The sequence below is a fragment of the Homo sapiens genome, chromosome 13, assembly GCF_000001405.40.
Source record: "Homo sapiens chromosome 13, GRCh38.p14 Primary Assembly".
In the NCBI taxonomy this organism is placed as follows: Eukaryota; Metazoa; Chordata; class Mammalia; order Primates; family Hominidae; genus Homo; species Homo sapiens.
In genome coordinates, this window is record NC_000013.11 from 29,023,026 (window position 1) to 29,042,239 (window position 19,214).

The 19,214-nt window shown below is 43.2% G+C and overlaps 1 protein-coding gene across 13 annotated transcripts in view; it reads left to right on the plus strand.

Moving 5' to 3' along the window:
• Positions 1–19,214, plus strand: part of MTUS2 (microtubule associated scaffold protein 2) — a 685,985-nt gene that overhangs the window by 203,063 nt on the left and 463,708 nt on the right. For 11 of the 13 annotated variants that reach the window (XM_047430227.1, NM_001384605.1, XM_011535019.4 and 8 more), the window contains 2 exons: positions 1,432–3,878; positions 10,860–11,100. In XM_047430227.1, the coding sequence (XP_047286183.1) occupies positions 1,644–3,878; positions 10,860–11,100 (2,476 nt within the window). In that variant the 5' untranslated portion in view covers positions 1,432–1,643. Of the gene's footprint in view, positions 1–1,431; positions 3,879–10,859; positions 11,101–19,214 lie in introns of those variants that run through there. The other 2 variants (XM_011535022.2, XM_024449335.2) reach the window with 2 other exon arrangements.

Sequence of the window (19,214 nt, forward strand, 5' to 3'; positions counted from 1 at the left end):
CAGGATACTACAAATCCATCATTATAGGATGACCTAGTGAGGAACGCTTCCTGGAGGAAGTGGTAGTTATGTTGCATATTGAAGGATGCAAAGGACTTGTAAGATGAGGTTGGGGGAGGATTCCACATTCCATGCAGATGGAAGAGTATGCGCAAAGGCCCTGAGGCAGAGAGTAATGAACATGGTACTGTGAGGAATGAGGCCAATGTGGCTGCAGCCTGCAGAGCAGAGGGTGAGGTGGGGTTGAGGCCAGAAAGGTGTTCAGGGCCTGATCATGCAGGCCTCGAAGGCCAGAGTAAAGCATTTCCCCCAAGTTTTTATTTTGGAAAATTTCAAACCTATAGAAAAGTTGCAGATGTAATAGAATTATTACCTAGATTTTCAAATGGTTGACTTTTGCCAGTTTCTCTCTTTTACTCTTTCTCCTTCTCATATGCACACACACATACATACACGTTTTTCTTGGTCGAATCATTTGAGAATAAGTTAGAAAAATCATGACATACTACCTCTGAATTCTAAAGCATGTATATTTCAAGAACCAAATTAATCTCTGGCATAATTATAGCACGATTACACACCCAAGAAAATTAATTATAAAATACCTGTACCTTATATACAGTCCATATTTAAATCTCTAATTGTCCTAATAATATCCTTTGCTAACATGTTTTGAAAATCCAGGCTCCGCTGACATTTTTTGGGACCAGTTAGGCCAGTTATTTTGCAATACATACCTCAATTTAAATTTGCCAGATTATTGTCTCATGGTTAAATTCTGGTTGAACATTAACTACTGCATAGGTGATGTGTGGCCCTGAGAACTAACTAATATCAGGAGTCCGTAATGTCAGTTTCATTACTAGTGATGTTAAATTTGATCACGTGGTTAATGTGGTGTCTACCAGATCTCTCCATTGTAAAGATAAAATTTTCGTTTTGTAAGAAATGAAGTAGCCTGGGGGAAGATACTTTAAGCATCTATGAATATCTTGTTCCCCAACAATCTTTTACCCAATGTTTGTACCTTTGGCATCCCTTGTGTAAGATAATTATGAATGTAGCGATTGCAAAATAGTGATTTTTCAAATTCTATAATTTTTTTCTACATTCGTTGATATTCTTCTGTAAAGAAGAGCCCTTACTTCTCCTCCATCCTTTTAAATCAGTATCAGTATAGACTTGTGGATGTTTAAAATTTAGATTTAAGATCTCACATGCATTTATAATCCATTTCTAACATTAAACATTTTGATGTTTAATTTTTGTATTTGGCCAGGAGGAGCCCTGATCAGAAAGGTTTTTTGAGAAAACTATTGATTGAATGAAATAATAATATAGAAATGACAAATAAATCTGTGTTTACCACTTTTTTCTCCTGAGAAGTTCTATTTGTCAATCTAATGTGAATATATTTTTATTTCTCTCTAGGTCTCATGGACTGATTGGCTCTCATTCAGCAGGAACCTAACAGATAAGTCTTCCTGCTGTATATCAAGACAATGCTTGGTTTTCAAGCTGTTCTGAGAATGATTAAAGCAGTGTCGCAAGGTGACATTGTCAGGGGAGAACAAGCAGCTTGAGAATTTCCTCTTAATCTGATTGCAGCTTGAAGGCAGCCCATTTCCATTAAGTAGGACTGCATGGCAAGCAGCCCCACCAAAGGGTTGACAATGAGCGTCCCAGTGGCTCCTAAGAAATCATGTTACACTCAGTTGCGGGACAACAGAAATGCAGCAAGAAATAATAATGAAAGCATCTTAAGTCTGGGAGATACGAATGCCAATCAAATCATGTTGGAGGTCAGCTCCTCTCATGACGAGTCCAAGACATGTGACCTGGGAGATGAAATTGGAAATACAAATTCAAGTGAGCCAGAAAACCGTACCCATTTCCATAAGGAATTTCACCAACTTCAGGGCTTTGGGAAAGGCTCTCAGGCTGGCTCTGCCAGCCTGAAAGATTTTAGACTTTCTTCAACCATTCAGAGGGAACTCAATGAAGAGCACACAGTGGAGAGAGGCACAGATAGCCTGCAGACCACGCGGAGTATTCAGGGACCAAGTCTGTCGAGTTGGAGGAATGTGATGAGTGAGGCCAGTCTAGACGTTTTGGCTAAAAGGGATGCTGAAATTCCCCGGCATGTTCCCAAGGATAAACTGGCAAAGACCCTTGACAATGAGGAACTGAGGAGGCATTCTTTGGAAAGAGCAAGCAGCTCTGTAGCTGCAGTCGGGAGCCTGACTCCGCAGCATCCACAGCCTCTATCCCTCGACTCCCGGGAAGCACGGGGTCAGATACCTGGGGGTGGGGAGGGGCCACAGAAGACATTGCCAGACCACGCTGTCCCGGCAGCTTTCCCTGCAACTGACAGTACCTCAGAGGGAAAGAGTGTGCGTCATCCTAAACCATCTACCTCAGAAAGCAAGCAGAGCACTCCCTCAGAGACCCAAACAGTGGGGGCACATGTACTGCAGGTGTGCAGTGAGCACACATCACATTCCGCCCATCCAGAGCCTGCTCTGAATTTGACTTTGGCATCGAAGGAAATCCCAAGTAAACTGGAAGCACAATTAGGTCAGGGAAAGGGAGAGGCCAAGCTGGATCTGAAATATGTTCCTCCCAGGAGAGTTGAACAGGAGGGAAAGGCAGCCCAGGAAGGGTATCTGGGATGCCACAAGGAAGAGAATCTGTCAGCCTTGGAGGGAAGGGATCCATGTGGGGAAGCACACCCGGAAGCCACCGATGCACTTGGCCATCTGCTGAACAGTGACCTCCACCACCTTGGGGTGGGAAGAGGCAACTGTGAAGAGAAGAGAGGAGTCAACCCAGGGGAGCAGGATTCTCTCCACACCACCCCCAAACAGGGCTCTGCTTCCTTAGGAGGGGCTGATAATCAGCCCACTGGCAAAATTTCACCATGTGCAGGTGAGAAGTTGGGTGAAAGGACATCCAGCAGCTTTTCACCAGGTGACAGTCATGTGGCTTTTATTCCTAATAATCTGACTGACAGCAAGCCCTTGGATGTCATTGAGGAGGAAAGGCGGTTGGGCAGTGGGAATAAGGACAGTGTTATGGTTTTGGTGTTCAATCCTTCTGTTGGAGAGAACAAGACGGAGGTGCCTGAGCCCCTGGACCCTCAAAGTGGCCGCTCAGAAGCACGGGAAAGCAAAGAGGTCACCACATCTGTTGCTGAAAACAGGAACCTTCTAGAGAATGCAGATAAGATTGAAAGCACCTCAGCAAGAGCAGATTCAGTTCTCAATATTCCAGCACCCCTCCACCCAGAGACAACTGTGAACATGACCTACCAGCCTACAACACCCAGTAGCAGTTTTCAGGATGTTAGCGTGTTCGGTATGGATGCGGGGTCCCCCTTGGTAGTTCCACCCCCTACTGATAGTGCACGCTTGTTGAACACGTCCCCCAAAGTGCCTGACAAGAACACTTGCCCCAGTGGGATCCCCAAGCCTGTCTTCACACATTCCAAGGACACACCTTCCTCGCAGGAGGGAATGGAGAACTATCAGGTTGAAAAAACAGAGGAGAGGACAGAAACTAAGCCCATCATTATGCCCAAGCCCAAGCATGTGAGGCCCAAGATCATCACCTACATCAGGAGGAATCCCCAGGCCCTGGGCCAGGTGGACGCCTCGCTGGTTCCAGTGGGGCTTCCATATGCCCCGCCCACATGTACCATGCCTCTTCCCCACGAAGAGAAGGCAGCAGGTGGTGACCTGAAGCCATCTGCCAACCTCTATGAGAAATTCAAGCCAGACCTGCAGAAGCCAAGGGTCTTCAGTTCCGGATTGATGGTGTCTGGAATCAAGCCCCCGGGACATCCTTTCAGTCAAATGAGTGAAAAGTTTTTGCAGGAGGTAAGAGAATGTCATTATGATATGGTCTATAAGTTGACTGTCCCAATATCTGTGACATATTTTCAATGAGTTATGAAAGTAAAATGTCCTCTTTAAGTGAATTACAGATTTTCATGGATACACTTGTGAAGAAATGGAGTTTTTGACTAGAGGAGATTGTCTAGAGAAATGACCATTTTTAACTAGAAGAGTCTGATTATCTTAATAAGATGTACCCAATATCTAAGGAGACCCATTTAAATTTCACTTGCTATAATTCATATGAAATTAGATGAGTATGCCTTAAATAGGCTTCCATGTTTAAATAAGTGAATATAATATAATATAAGCCAGGTTAAAGGAAGAAAGAATGCAAAATTACTGTGTTCTTCAAATAGATCAGACTCATTCCTCAATGGGGAGTATTTTCTACCTGGGAGTATCTCTTATTCGCATGCGTGAAGAACAGCAAATGAGCAGAAAACGGTGTGTTAGGCATGGACTCTTTCTTTAAAATAAAAGTAATAATTACAACTAACATATAATTGAGGGCCAGCTCTACACTGGGCCCATATAATACAGCGTTTGATCTTTGTTAATCTTCACTAATCCTTGCAGTAATTCCCTGAGGGTTGGTATTGCAGTTTTTTGTTTGTTTATGTTTTTTTTGGCTTTTTCTTTGTTTTTGAGATGAAGTCTCGCTCTGTCGCCCAGGCTTGAGTGCAGTGGCGCGATCTCGGCTCACTGGAAACTCCACTTTCTGGGTTCACGCCATCCTCCTGCCTCAGCTTCCCTAGTACCTGGGACTACAGGCGCCCGCCACCGCGCCTGGCTACTTTTTTGTATTTTTAGTAGAGATGGGGTTTCACCGTGGTCTTGATCTCCTGACCTCGTGATCCGCCTACCTCGGCCTCCCAAAGTGCTGGGATTACAGGCGTGAGCCACCGCGCCCAGCCGGTATTGCAGTTTTTATCACCGTATAGATACAGAGACAGACAGAGAGCTTTAAGTCACCCACCACAAAGGAAGGAGAGCTCTGAGAGTCTCACTCAGGCCTGTGCAGTTTCAGACTGCACTGTGCTGTCCTTTTTAGCTATGGTGAGTCATCCTTCGAGACCTCAGAACTAAGATTTGTCTCCTGAAGGAGTCTCTTCATGACAGCTGAGTGATCAGTTAAAAGTAAGGCAGGAGCCAAGGACAGCGGCTCACACCTGTAATCCCAGCATTTGGGAAGCCGAGATGGGCAGATCACAAGGTCAGGAGATCGAGACCATCCTGGCCAACATGGTGAAACCCCGTCTCTACTAAAAATACAAAAACTAGCTGGGTGTGGTGGCATGTGCCTGTAGTCCCAGGAACTGGGGAGGCTGAGGCAGGAGAATTGCTCGAACCCAGGATGTGGAGGTTGCAGTGAGCTGAGACCACGCCACTGCACTTCAGCCTGGCAACAGAGCGCGACTCAGTCTCAAAAACAAGGGCAGGATGAGATCATCCTGTCTCTAACACCTTCCAGGGCTGCCCAGGTTGCTTGGAACACAAGCTGGAGCCTGTAGGATGGCTCTGCCTTTAGGATGGGATGTGCTCACTGGGGGTCCGTCAGCTACCTGCCCTCCTCTCCTTCCACTCTCCCTTTCTCACTCTGCTGCTTCAGGACCTTTGCACCTCCCTCTGCTTGGAATGTTCTCCCAGTTATCCAGATGGCTCTCTCCCTCACTCCCTTTAGGTCTGTGTTCCAATGTTATCTCCTTGGGAAGGCCACCCATCTTCTCTCTGAATCCCTTTTCTCTGATTTATTTCTTCCTAGCACCTACCTCCACCTGCCATAAATACTTTTTTAGTTTTCCTGAATTGACTATAATGTAAACTCCATGAGGGAAGGGATTGTTTTCAATATTTTGTTCCCCGTGTTCCCAGAATTTAGAATGGTGCTTCTTATAAGTATGTGCTCAAAAAATGTTGAGTGATAACTGAATCATGAACTCCATATGTGTTGGAACTAAACAAAAGTGTACCAAGGGTTTCTAGAGATAGGATGATTGAGTCCAAATTTGGACTCTAGCTTGGTTAGATATATTGGCATATTTAAAGAATGCATCAATCACAACAGAAGTTGTCATATCTAGCACAAAGACAAAGTTGAATCCATTCTCGGCAGCAGACATTGACTTAGGCAATCACTGACGAGGTGCCCCAACAAGCCGACCAGCTGTGCTGCCTTGCCGCAGGTCCTTAGCAACCAAATCACACAGCTTGCTCCCTGTGTTCTGACTCTGGGCCTGCCAACAGGCCTCTGATTATAACGGACTTCCTACCTCACATCTCTAGAGAGAGGATTCTGGCTGGAGAATTCAGGGGTCCAGTCAGCTTGGCAGGGGTTTGTCTTGCTGTGCGGGGCTGCATGGCATCTTGTTTATAAGTGGCTTCTTACTCTGTGCCCTGCAATGAGAACGTGTTCTGGCTAGAGGACACTTGAGTCTGGCTTTAGGCAGTGGTCTCCAATTAAAAGTGAACAAATTGCCCTTCTGGATTTTTACGTCAGTCTCTGAGTTTAGTTATAGTGAGTCATTTTCAAATTTCTAAACATTCATCCACCTGGGCCTCTGAGGCTCAGGGTCAGGCTCTGAAGCTTTGCTCTTCTATAAGGCAGGGAATCACTGCAGAGGTTCCATGAAGAGACCTGTCAGTCCATTTGTGTTGCTATGAAAGAATACCTGAGGCTGGGTAAATTATAAGGAAAAGAGGTTTATTTGGCTCATGGTTCTGCAGGCTGGAGAGGAAGCATGGCACCAGCATCTGCCTATGGTGAGGCCTCAGGCTGCTTCCACTCAAGGGGGAAGAAGAAGGGGAACCACGTGTGCATTGATCACGTGGTGAGAGATGAGCAAGAGGGGAGTGGAGGAGGTGCCAGGCCTCTCTTTAAGGACCAGCTCTCATGGGAACTAATAGAGCAAGAACTTGCTCATTACCAAAAGGAGGGCACCAAGCCATTCATGAGGCATCTGCCCCCATGGCCCACACACCTCCCACTAGACCCCACCTCCAACATTGGAGATCACATTTCAACATAAGAGTTGGCACAGACAAGCCAACCATATCCAAACCATAGCCAGAGCCTAGATTTTTCTCTATAAAAACAAACTCATGAGGGAAATTGATTTGGATATGTAGGCCCAAACCCCACATTGTCTGTAATTCTTTCTTTGTGCCCTTCTATATTTTCGTGTATATTTCTTTTCTGTGTTGTTCTGCTTCCTCCAAGAATAGTTTATATATTACATGCATAGTTTTCCCCAAACTATTTTCTCTACTTCATTATCTAGGCACCACGTCAAGACTCAAGGAAATGGGATTGTATGGACATTGTGTGGCTTTGGCGGTTCTGAGGGGTTCAGAGAGACCCCACTGGTGTGGAGAGAGCATCATGGCCTCGCACCTCGAGCATCCCAAAGTCTTCTTCAAAGAATTTATTTGTTTTTGGGCCTCGACTTTACAAGTTCGTTTGAAATGTCAGTTTCCCTCCCTGTATCTGGGGACCATTTTCTGCCATCATCAGAACGAGACCCAGGCCTCTTCTCAGGTTGCGCTGGGCTCATTTCTGTGGTAACCTTCTTTACTCAAAAGTGGGGAACAGGCTGGTCCTTGGCCACCTGCTACAGCTATGACATGATGTAACCCAGCGAGTCCCCCTCTTGTGTTTGAGCTCAGTGCAGGGAGAAAAAACAGCCGACTTCTTCTGCCAGTGTGCCCCAAGCTCATCATGGGGTGGCTGCAGTCTGGTCTCTAGGAAAAGAACACATTTTTGATAATGTGTTGCAATGGAAGTATTTTTCAGTTATAGAAGCCAGATTTTTTTTTAAATAAAATGAGAACCTCTTAAAAATAAAAACTCAAACCAGCTTCAGACTCTTCCATCCTTATCGACAGATCCCTGCTGGTTACATAGCATGGGTAGAAGTGGAAAAATCAAGAGTAAGCACTCTTCTGAGAGAGGAACTCTTTTCCCAATTGGCAGGAACAGCACAGGCATTTAAAACTTCCAGAAGTGGCTTCCAAGATCATCTGGGATCTAGTCATGTCCAGGTATTAAATATGTTTACCTAAACAGGTGCCCTCTGCCACTGGCTCTCCTGAGGTCTCAGGGACACTCCCTCCCTCCAACAACTTGGGAGCCCTTTTTATTTTTGGTAAAGGGAGGTGGGAAGAAAGGGGCTTGGCTGAGAGGATGGAGTGAGGCGATGTGCGTGCAGTGTACAGAGGTGTGATCCAGGGCTGCTCTCCTTCCTCACTGTCTGCTGCCACTCATCTCTGGGGGGCACTGCATCGATTGGGGTTTGCCAGACAAATAGAACTAATAGGTGTGTGTGTGTGTGTGTGTGTGTGTGTGTGTGGTGTGTGTTCACAGGTCTATATTCATCTATACTTATGTCTCTCAATATATATTATCTATATATGTTTCAATATATATATCTCATATGTAGAGACAGATATAGATGTATATATAGAGAGGGTACATCACATAATCTCTATATATATATATAGAGAGAGATTGATTGACTGATTGATTTTAAGAAATTGGCTCATGATTGTAGAGGCTGGCAAGTCAAAAATCTGCAGGGCAGGACAGCAGCCTGGAGACTTAGGGTAGAGTTGGTGCTGCAGCTTGGGTCTGAAGGTGATCTACTAGCAGAATCCCCTTTTCTTTAGGAGGAGTCAGTCTGTTTTTATTAAACCCTGCAACTGATTAGATGAGACTCACCTACATGCTGAAGGGTCTGCTGCTTTATTCAAGGTCTGCTGATTTAAATGTTAATCTAATATAAGAAATACTTTCATGGCAGCATCTAGAATGCTTGACCAAATATCTGGGTATTGCAACCCCACCAAGTTGACACATAAAATTAACCATCCCAGACACCCTTCCCCCACCACTATCCCAGTGGCTTGTTAACAAAGCCTTCACCTGTACCCTCTGTCTCCACGGCACACTATCCCATTGAGGACAGTGCAGGGCAAATAGGAAGAGGGACAGCCTGGTAAGAATGTATTTGTTCATATGCCTTGACTTAACGAGTTTGTTTGAAATCATAGGGTTCTTTTGTTTGCTTTCAAAGTGAGTTCTCTAAAAACCCTCCATTGGGATGGAGGGAGGGGAACAGCAACGTTTGGGGTTTCCAAACGTTGTTTTATGACTGTGCAGCATCACCTGCTGTATTCTGTCAGTAAAGATGAAGGAAAAGAGTATGAAGCTTTCTGTAGATTCCCTTGTTTAATTAAAAATGCACAGACTAGACATCAAAGGCGCAGTTTTCCCCCTTTTAAAGAATTTGCGATCTCACCAGAAACAAATTACCCAACAAAATGACAGGCATTGAAGTTACTGAAATCCTTAAGATCATTGTTGAGAGAGAATGTGGTGAATTTTAATCCCTAAAAACAACTCAGTTTCAAGGCACTGAGTAACTACTAAGATCAGCATATTGCAATCCTAAAACCTGACAGATGTAGTTTGGAAATGATATTAATTTCTTCATAAGAGCACCTGCTCAAAGCAATGTGCAATGGGACCCAAAATTTAGAAACTAAAATTAAAAAAGGGTATATATGAGAAAAACCAGAGATTGATAGTGAGAGTAAGTAGAGAATGGTAAAAAATTTATCAGAGTGCAGATGTAGAATGTTCTTTCATAGGAATATAATTTGCTATAGCCAAGGACTATCTACTATAACAGTCATGCATATTTTACAGTGTGATTATGATAAAACTTTAAAGGCCTAATCTTTTGTTTCTACAATGTCAATTTGAAGGAGGACTTTGTATCTATTTCAACATTAAATGAGTATCAATTTAAGGGTTTATCTCTTCAACAGCTTGGATCAAAGCTTTTATAGCCCCCATTAAAGAATACTGTTAAATGCTTATGATTCCTGAGATATAAGTTTGACACATAAAATGTGCTGTGATTTAGAACAGAGTTAATTAACAGATGTATCTTTTCATGCATGGCCCTTAGCACTATTTTTTATTGTAACTTAAAGGAATAGTTTATTTAGTTCTCTCTCTTTTTTTCCTGTTTAATATTAATAAAACACTGATAATATGAACAGACTTAGTGAGTACAGAATTGCATATATAAAAGGTACTGCCCACAGGTTGTATTCTAGGCCAAACTGCTAGCTACAGGAGAAAGTGACAGTAACGTTATGTTATTATTAAACTTAGGAAAAAATGGAAACATGATTCTTCAATAAATATTTATTGACTTTAGCTATGTGCTAGACATTGTTTTTGGTGCTATGAAGTCAGCGGTTGATGAGATTGTGCCCTAGAACTTCCATTCTGGTGAAACTTGCTCAAACCTTCCTGGGAGCATCGCCTCACTCGAGCAGACGACCAGAGGAGATAACTCAGGCTCAGGTTTTTAACTAGGTAAACACATAGTACAGATCTGAAAATACATTTTCCATTAACTTCCCTATTTTTCTGGAAAATGTTTCCTCCTTTATTAACAATGCAATTTTTTGCTTCCTAAGTAGCCCAGTAAAGATCTAATATAAATGGACACAGTTTACCTAGTGAGTCTAAGACTAGGTTATCATACAACTTACAGCTTTTTTCCCACAGGTATAATAAAACTTTCATAATTTTATGAACATTTGCTAAATGCTTTCTTTGCTTTATTGACATTTATAGTTTGGCTACTCACTCAGATTCTAGTGATTTTGTAACAATGGAATTAAAAAAATCTTATCCAGTGAGTTCTTTTTAACTCCAGTGAACTATAGATTCTAGAGTAGTAGAACTGGAAGAGACCTGAGAGATCATCCAGTGTGTTATCAATCAGGAGACGAAGACACTGTGGCCCGGGGAAGGTAGGGGACTTGTGATCAAGCAGCTAAGTGGTACCAGAGTGGTCATTGGTTCAGCCTCGGTCTCGTGGTCCTGTATAGAACTCACACTATGATGTGAAGGTCTCTGATTGAGTTTTTGTTCATTTATCATAGGTTACAGACCACCCTGGAAAAGAAGAGTTTTGTTCTCCTCCCTATGCTCATTATGAAGTCCCTCCAACTTTCTATCGGTCAGCCATGCTCCTTAAGCCCCAGCTAGGATTGGGTGCAATGTCCCGTTTACCATCTGCAAAGAGCAGGATTCTGATTGCAAGTCAGAGGTCTTCAGCGAGCGCCATCCACCCACCAGGACCCATAACAACAGCCACCAGTCTCTACAGTTCCGATCCTTCAGGTAACCGATCCAACAGTTTCTGCCTTTTCCTGCTGTACGTTTAGATAGTCATCATGTAAGATGGTGATAATTGTCTAAAATATGAATGCCTTTCATCCTTTAAGGAGAGCCTTTTTCTGTTCTTCCATATGTCTGTAGATGCAGACATTTGTGAAACTCATCTGTGTGCAACTGTCATCCTTCATGTCACCTTTAAACTGATGGCCCTTGTTACTACCATCCAGCTTTTCATAATTTCTTGCTTCTCTAATATGCCCTATAAAACAAGGCTCAGAAGTTGTTTTCTGTCAAGGGCCAAAGAGTAAATATTTTGGAGTATGTAGGTCCTAAGGGGTTAATGTCATAACTGTTTAGGGCCTTGGTCCATTTGGTGTCGAGACAGAGAGAAGGTAGAGCCAAAGAAGTTCCAGACTCACTGGGCATGGGCTGCAAGAGAGAAAGCCATGGAGGAGAACTCCGGGTTTCTGGCCTGAGCAACTGGAAGAATGGAGTTGCCACATAGAGAAGTGCGTTTAGAAAGGCAGATAAGAGTCAAGCAAGGACATGAGAAGTTTGAAATGTCTTTGGTCATCCGGCAGGATACAGCATGGGATTTATGGGACTGGAGTTTAGAGGACAGGACCTGGCTAGAGATGTAAAAGCGTTATCTGTAGGCAGAGAGATGATATTCAAAGCTGTGATGCTGTCCTTCACCAAGCTACCATTGCTGTCCCCCACCACTGCACCTTCATCAGGATGTTATAAATTTGATGTGAACTTGAATTATGCACCTTTGAAATAGTATGATGTGACAAATGTTCACAGTTTTACTTTATGCACAAAATATGGAAAAACTTCAAAGTTATAAAAATAATCTTAGTTGAGTTTGTTTTGCAACAGTCAAGGTTTTAAGACTATACTACTGCATAAAAATACCACCGTGATACAGACAGGCAGATCAAATTCTTCTGAGGCTGGCTCATTCATATTTACACATTTTTGTAATAAGGGTGTCACTTCTTCAAACTCAGTTCAGTCCTAGAAGTACACATATGAGGGGCTGCCTCCATCCTACTCCTTCAGGACTCAAACACTTTTCCTTGGGTTTGTGGGTGTCTTAATTTAGAGAACAATGTATGTTCCCATGGTTGATCATTGGACACCCAGCAAAACTAGTAACACTGATGGGTATCACTCCTACAGGGCATGGAAGATGTCACATGCCTTCTTAGCGCTGCTGGGGGGATCACCTGCCAGAGGCTCTGGGACAATGAGAGGTTCTTAATTTGGAGACCAGGGAGCTTTAGAGGGCAAGGACTCAGCTCCCTTGGCCCCTGAGCCCTTGAGCCAGGCCAGTAGCTCTTGGCTTGGCCTGGTCACTTGGCCGATTGCAGGCAGCAGGCCCTTTCCCTTGTCAGACAGCTTTGCTAGAATCCCTGGTGCCTCCATCTTCAACTTTGGCAATATGCCTTATTAATTCTCTTCTTTTCTTTCTGCTGAAACCTTTCCATTTTTCTTCATGTTGTCCTCAGAGATATTCCCTTGCTCCTCAATCCCTGTTTTCTTTTTATTTCACAAGAGACTTAGATGGTTCACTGAACACAGAGCCAAAGCCATTATCCACCAAACACTATTGATAGTTTCCCTTAACTTGAGATCTAGGAGGCTTAACTTTCAGACTGTCCCAGGAAATGAAGAGAAATACCTGGAATAAAAAATAACTTCTGGAATAACAAAGAAAAAGAAAAAGAAAAACCAGGCTTGGCGTGGTGGCTCACGACTGTAATCCCAGCACTTTGGGAGACTGAGGTGGACGGATCGCTGGAGGCCAGGAGTTTGAGACCAGCCTGGCAACATGTGGAAACCCCATCTCTACTAAAAATACAAAAATTAGCTGGACTTGGGGGTGTGTGCCTGTAATCCCAGCTACTCTGGAGGCTGAGGCATGAGAGTCACTTGAACCCAAGAGACAGAGGCTACAGTGAGCCGAGATCGCACCACTGCACTCCAGCCTGGGCCACAGAGTGAGACTGTCTCAAAAAAAAAAAAAAAGAAAGAAAAATAAAAGAAAAACCCAACAGCTAAGATTCCACATGGAGGCACTGTGAGTACCTTCCCAAGGCCACTCTCAGTTTGTTCCTCCATTACAAAAAGTCCTCTGACGGAAGGGAGTGAGAGTCACCTAAGACTCAAATTCAGAAAGCTGTGGCGAAGAAGAAACAGTTGGCACTTTTTGATAATTATGTATTGTACATTTACCATGTTTTAGCCCAAATCTCAAAGGTAAACAAGGACAGATTTGTTTACATCTAACCTCCTTACAATTATGTGGTCAATTTTAGAGTAAGTGTGACATGGTGCTGAGAAGAATGTATATTCTATCAGATTGGGGTGGAGAGTTCTGTAGATGTCTATTAAGTTGGCTTGGTCCAGAGCTGAGTTCAAATCCTGAATATCCTTGTTAATTTTGTCTCGTTGATCTGTCTAATATTGACAGTGGGGTGTTAAAGTGTCCCACTATTATTGTGTGGGAGTCTAAGTCTCTTTGTAGGTCTCTAAGAACTTGCTTTATGAATCTGGGTGCTCCTGTATTAGGTGCATATATATTTAGGATAGTTAGCTCTTCTTGTTGCATTGATCCCTTTACCATTATGTAATGCCCTTTTTTATCTTTTTTGATCTTTGTTGGTTTAAAGTCTGTTTTATCAGAGATTAGGATTGCAACCCTTGTCTTTTTTTTTGGTTTCCATTTGCTTGGTAAATATTCCTCTGTCCCTTTATTTTGGGCCTATGTGTGTCTTTACACGTGAGATGGGTCTCCTGAATACAGCACACTGATGGGTCTTGATTCTTTATCGAATTTGCCAGTCTGTGTCTTTTAAGTGGGGTGTTTACCCCGTTTACATATAAGGTTAATATTGTTATGTGTGAATTTGATCCTGTCATTATGATGCTGGCTGGTTATTTTGCCTGTTAGTTGATGGAGTTTCTTAATAGTGTTGATGGTAATTACAATTTGGTATGTTTTTGAAGTGACTGGTTACTGATTATTCCTTTCCAAATTTAGTGCTTCCTTCAGGAGCTCTTGTAAGGCAGGCCTGGTGGTGACACAATCTCTCAGCATTTGCTTGTCTGTCAAGGATTTTATTTCTCCTTCGCTTATGAAGTTTAGTTTGGCTGGATATGAAATTCTGGGTTGAAAATTCTTTTCTTTAAGAATGTTGAATATTGGCTCCCACTCTCTTCTGGCTTGTAGAGTTTCTGCTGAGAGATCCACTGTTAAGCTGATGGACTTCCCTTTGTGGGTAACCCAACCTTTCTCTCTGTCTGCCCTTAACATTTTTTCCTTCATTTCAACCTTGGTGAATCATATAATTATGTGTCTTGGGGTTGCTCTTCTTGAGGAGTATCTTTGTGATGTTCTGAGTATTTCCTGAAATTGAATATTGGCCTGTCTTGCTAGGTTGGGGAAGTTCTCCTGGATAATATCCTGAAGTGTGTTTTCCAACTCGGTTCCATTCTCCCCGTCATTTTCAGGTACACCAATCAAATGTAGGTTTGGTCTTTTCACATGGTCCCATATTTCTTGGAGGCTTTGTTCATTCCTTTTCATTCTTTTTTCTCTAATGTTGTCTTCATGCTTTATTTCATTAAGTTGGTCTTCAATCTCTGATATCCTTTCTTCCACTTGATCGATTCAGCTATTGATACTTGTGTATTCTTCACGAAGTTTTCATGCTGTGTTTTCAGCTCCATCAGGTCATTTATGTTCTTCTCTAGACTGGTTATTCTAGTTAGCAATTCATCTAACCTTTTTTCAAGGTGCTTAGCTTCCTTGCATTGGGTTAGAACATGCTCCTTTAGCTCAGAAGAGTTGGTTGTTACCCACGTTTTGAAGCCTACTTCTGTCAATTCATCAAATTCATTCTCCATCCAGTTTTGCTCCCTTGCTGGCAAGGAGTTATGATCCTTTGGAGGACAAGAGGCATTCTGGTGTTTGGAATTTTCAGCCTTTTTGTGCTGGTTTTCCCTCATCTTCATGGATTTATCTACCTTTGTTATTTGATGTTGGTGATCTTCAGATGGGACATCTTTTTTGTTGATGTTGATGTTACTGCTTTTGCATGGGCGTCCTTTTTGTTGATGTTGATATTATTGGATTCTGTTAGTTTTCCTTTTATCAGTCAGGCTCCTCCTCTGCAGGTCTGCTGGAGTTTGCTGGAGGTCCACTCCAGACCCTATTAGCCTGGGTATCACCAGTGGAGGCAGCAGAACAGCAAAGATTGCTGCCTGCTCCTTCCTCTGGAAGCTTTGTCCCAGAGGGTCACCCTCCAGATACCAGCCGGAGCTCTCCTGTATGAGGTGTCTGTCTGCCCCTGCTGGGAGGTGTCTCCCAGTCAGGAGGCATGGAGTTCAGGGACCCACTTGAGGAGGCAGTCTGACCCTTAGCAGAGCTCCAGCGCTGTGCTGGGAGATCCACTGCTCTCTTCAGAGCCGACAGGCAGGAATGTTTAAGTCTGCTGAAGCTGCACCCACAGCTGCCCCATCCCCCAGGGTGCCCTGTCCCAGGGAGATGGGAGTTTTATCTATAAGCCCCTTACTGGGGCTGCTGCCTTTCTTTCAGAGATGCCCTGCCCAGACGGGAGGAATCTAGAGAGGCAGTCTGGTTACAGCCACTTTGGGGTGCTGCGGTGGGCTCCGCCCAGCTCGAACTTTCTGGTGGCTTTGTTTACACTGTAAGGGGAAAACCACCTACTCAAGCCTCAGGAATTGCCCCTCCCTCACCAAGCTCGACCACCAGGCTGCGGGCGGGCCTGGGGTGCCGGGCCTTCCAAAGCCACCACTTCATGTAGGCCAGGTGAGCCTCGGAAAAGTCTGGCCCGGTGATGCTCAGGAGTGGTGGGCTGTTGGGAAAGCGCCTCCAGGCCTTGGGGACCATCTCTCTCTGGATGCTGGATAGACCCAGCCAGGAGGAGCCTTGGGGAGGGGCCAGGTGCGGACCCAGTGCTTCCCATTGACATAGAGGACTTTGTAGCGGTCCTTGACCTTGGAGCGGAGGACGGGCCTGGACCGCATATCCTGGTGCTTCTGGGCTCGGGGCAGCACCCTGGCCCGGGGCTAGCCCAGGAGCCAGCTCAGGTAGCTGCCCATGACAACAGTGCAGTGGTAGGGACCTTCCCTTAGAAATTCGGCTTCCAGAAGTTTCCGAAGTCTGCGGCTGGGGCCAAGTGTGCAGAGCTTGGTGACCATTGGAATCAGGACGCCAGAAACTGTGCAAAGCATCGCGCGCCGGGCACCCTCTGGCCATAGGGTCCCGCAAGGGCTAGGCCGGCGCGTCACGGAATCAGGGACGTCACAGGGCGCAGCTGCAGCGGGGGAGGGCAGCACCCAGACCATCTGGGGGACCGGGGAAGCTCAGGCTTCTATCCTTCCCACTGATGGTCCCAGTCACTTGGCTCTGGGCAGAGGGGGCCTAGCAGCTGCCTCTACTTTTGTGCCTGACCTTTAAAGGTAGAAGATAGAATTTCTGCCAGGTCCTGAAAACTGCAGATGCCTGTTGACAGAAGGGTGCTGTCTTTGATCAGTGTGAAAATGAACACAATACACTTGGATACTCTTTCAAGGAAAAACAAATCATTTACTCATATCAGTAAAGGTGATGTGTGTTTCATTCTTCTAGGATGGATGTTAATGTCACTTTTTGCAATTTTGCTGTTAAGAAAATGGAGTCATCAAGTTTTGTTTTAGCACAGGCAATGTTGATTTTACGTGGATTTCCCATAATTTCCAGCCTTCCTACATCCATGAATAGATTGTCTGTCTCTGAACACTACTGTCATTTCTCTCGTTTAATTTCTCTTTATTTTTGAAATATTATTTCAGTAGTTTTTGGGGGAAAGGTGATGTTTGGTTATATGTATAAGTTCTTTAGTGGTGATTTCTGAGGTCTTGGTGCACCCATTATTCAAGCAGTGTACACTGCACCTGATGTGTAATCTTTTATCCCTCACTCACCTCCCACCCATTCCCCAAGTCCCCAAAGTCCATTGTATCATTCTTATGCCTTTGCATCCTCATAGCTTAGCTCCCACTTATGCGTGAGAACATATGATGTTTACTTTTCCATTCCTGAGTTACTTCGCTTAGAATAATGGTCTCCAACTTCATCCAGGTTGCTGCGAATGCCATTATTTCATTCCTTTTTAAGGCTCATTAGTATTTCATAGTACATTTGTACCACATTGTCTTTATTCACTCGTTAATTGATGGGCATTTGGGCTGATTCCATATTTTTGCAATTGCGAATTCTGCTATTATAAACGTGTGTGCAAGTATCTTGTATAATGATTTCTTTTCCTCTGGGTAGATACCCAGTAGGGTATTGCTGGATCAAATGGTAGTTCTACTTTTAGTTCTTTAAGGAGTCTCCACACTGCTTTCTATAGTGATTTGTACTAGTTTACATTCCCACCAGCAGTATATAAGTGTTCCCTTTTCACCACATCCACACCAACATCTATTATTTTTTGATTTTTTGATTATGGCATTCTTGCAGGAGTAAGGTGGTATCACATTGTGGTTTTGATTTGCATCTCCCTGATAATTAGTAATGATGATCATTTTTTCATATGTTTGTTGGCTATTTGTATATTTGAGAATTGTCTATTCATTTCTTTAGTCTACTTTTTGATGGGATTATTTGTTTTTTTCTTGCTTATTGGTTTGAGTTGCTCATAGATTCTGGATATTAGTCCTTTGTCAGATGCATAGTTTGCAAAGATTTTCTCCCACTCTGTGGGTTGTCTGTTTACTCTGCTGATTATTGCTTTTACTGTGCAGAAGCTTTTTAGTTGAATTAAGTCCCAGCTATTTATCTCTGTTTTTTTTCCATTTGCTTTTGGGTTCGTGGTCATAAAATCCTTGCCTACGATAATGTCTAGAAGGGTTTTTCCGATGTTATCTTCTAGAATTTTTGTGGTTTCAGGTCTTAGATTTAAGTCTTTGATCCATCTTGAGTTAATTTTTGTATAATGTGAGAGATGAAGGTCCAATTTCATTATTCTTGCCAATTATCCCAGCACCATTTGTTGAATATGGTGTGCTTTCTCCAGTTTATGTTTTTGTTTGCGTTATTAAAGATCAGTTGGTTGTAGGTATTTGGCTTTATTTCTGGGTTCTTTATTCTGTTCCATTGGTCTGTGAGCCTATTTTCATACCAGCACCATACTGTTTTGGTAACTTTAGCCTTATGGTATAGTTTGAAGTCAGGTAATGTGATGCCTCCAGATTTGTTCTTTTTGCTTAGCCTTACTTTGGGTATGTGGATTCTTTTTTGGTTCTATATGAATTTTAGAATTGTTCTAGTTCTGTGAAGAATGATGGTGGTATATTGATGGAAATTGCCTTGAATTTGTAGATTGCTTTTGGCAGTGTGGTCATTTTTACAATATTGATTCTACCCATCCATGAGCATGGCATATGTTTCCATTTGTTTGTGTCATCTGTGATTTTTTTCGGCAGTGTTTTGTAATTTTCCTGGTAGAGGTCTTTCCCCTCTTTGGTTAGGTGTAATATACTCCTGAATGTTCTGTTGTGTTTATTTGTTTGTTTGTTTTGCAGCTGTTGTAAAAGGGGTTGAGTTCTTGATTTTATTTTCAGTTTGGTTGCTGTTGGTGTATAGCAGTGCTACTGATCTGTGTATATTGATTTTGTATCCTGAAACATTGCTGAATTCATTTATCAGTTCTAAGAGCTTTTAGGATGAGGCTTTAGGGTTTTCTAGGTACACCATTATATCATTGGTGAACAGTGACAGTTTGACTTCGTCTTTACTGATTTGGATGCCTTTTATTTCTTTCACTTGTCTGATTGCTCTGGTTTGGACTTCCAGTACTATGTTGAAGAGAAGTGGTGAAAGTGGGCATCCTTGACTTGTTCCAGTTCTCAGAGGGAATGCTTTTAGCTTTTCCCCATTCAGTATAATGTTGGCTGTGGCGTTGTCATAGATGGCTTTTATTACCTTAAAGTATGTCCTTTCCGTGCTGATTTTGCTGAGGGTTTTAATCATAAAGGGATGGTGGATTTTGTCAAATGCTTTTTCTGTGTCTATTGAGATGATCATGTTATTTTTGTTT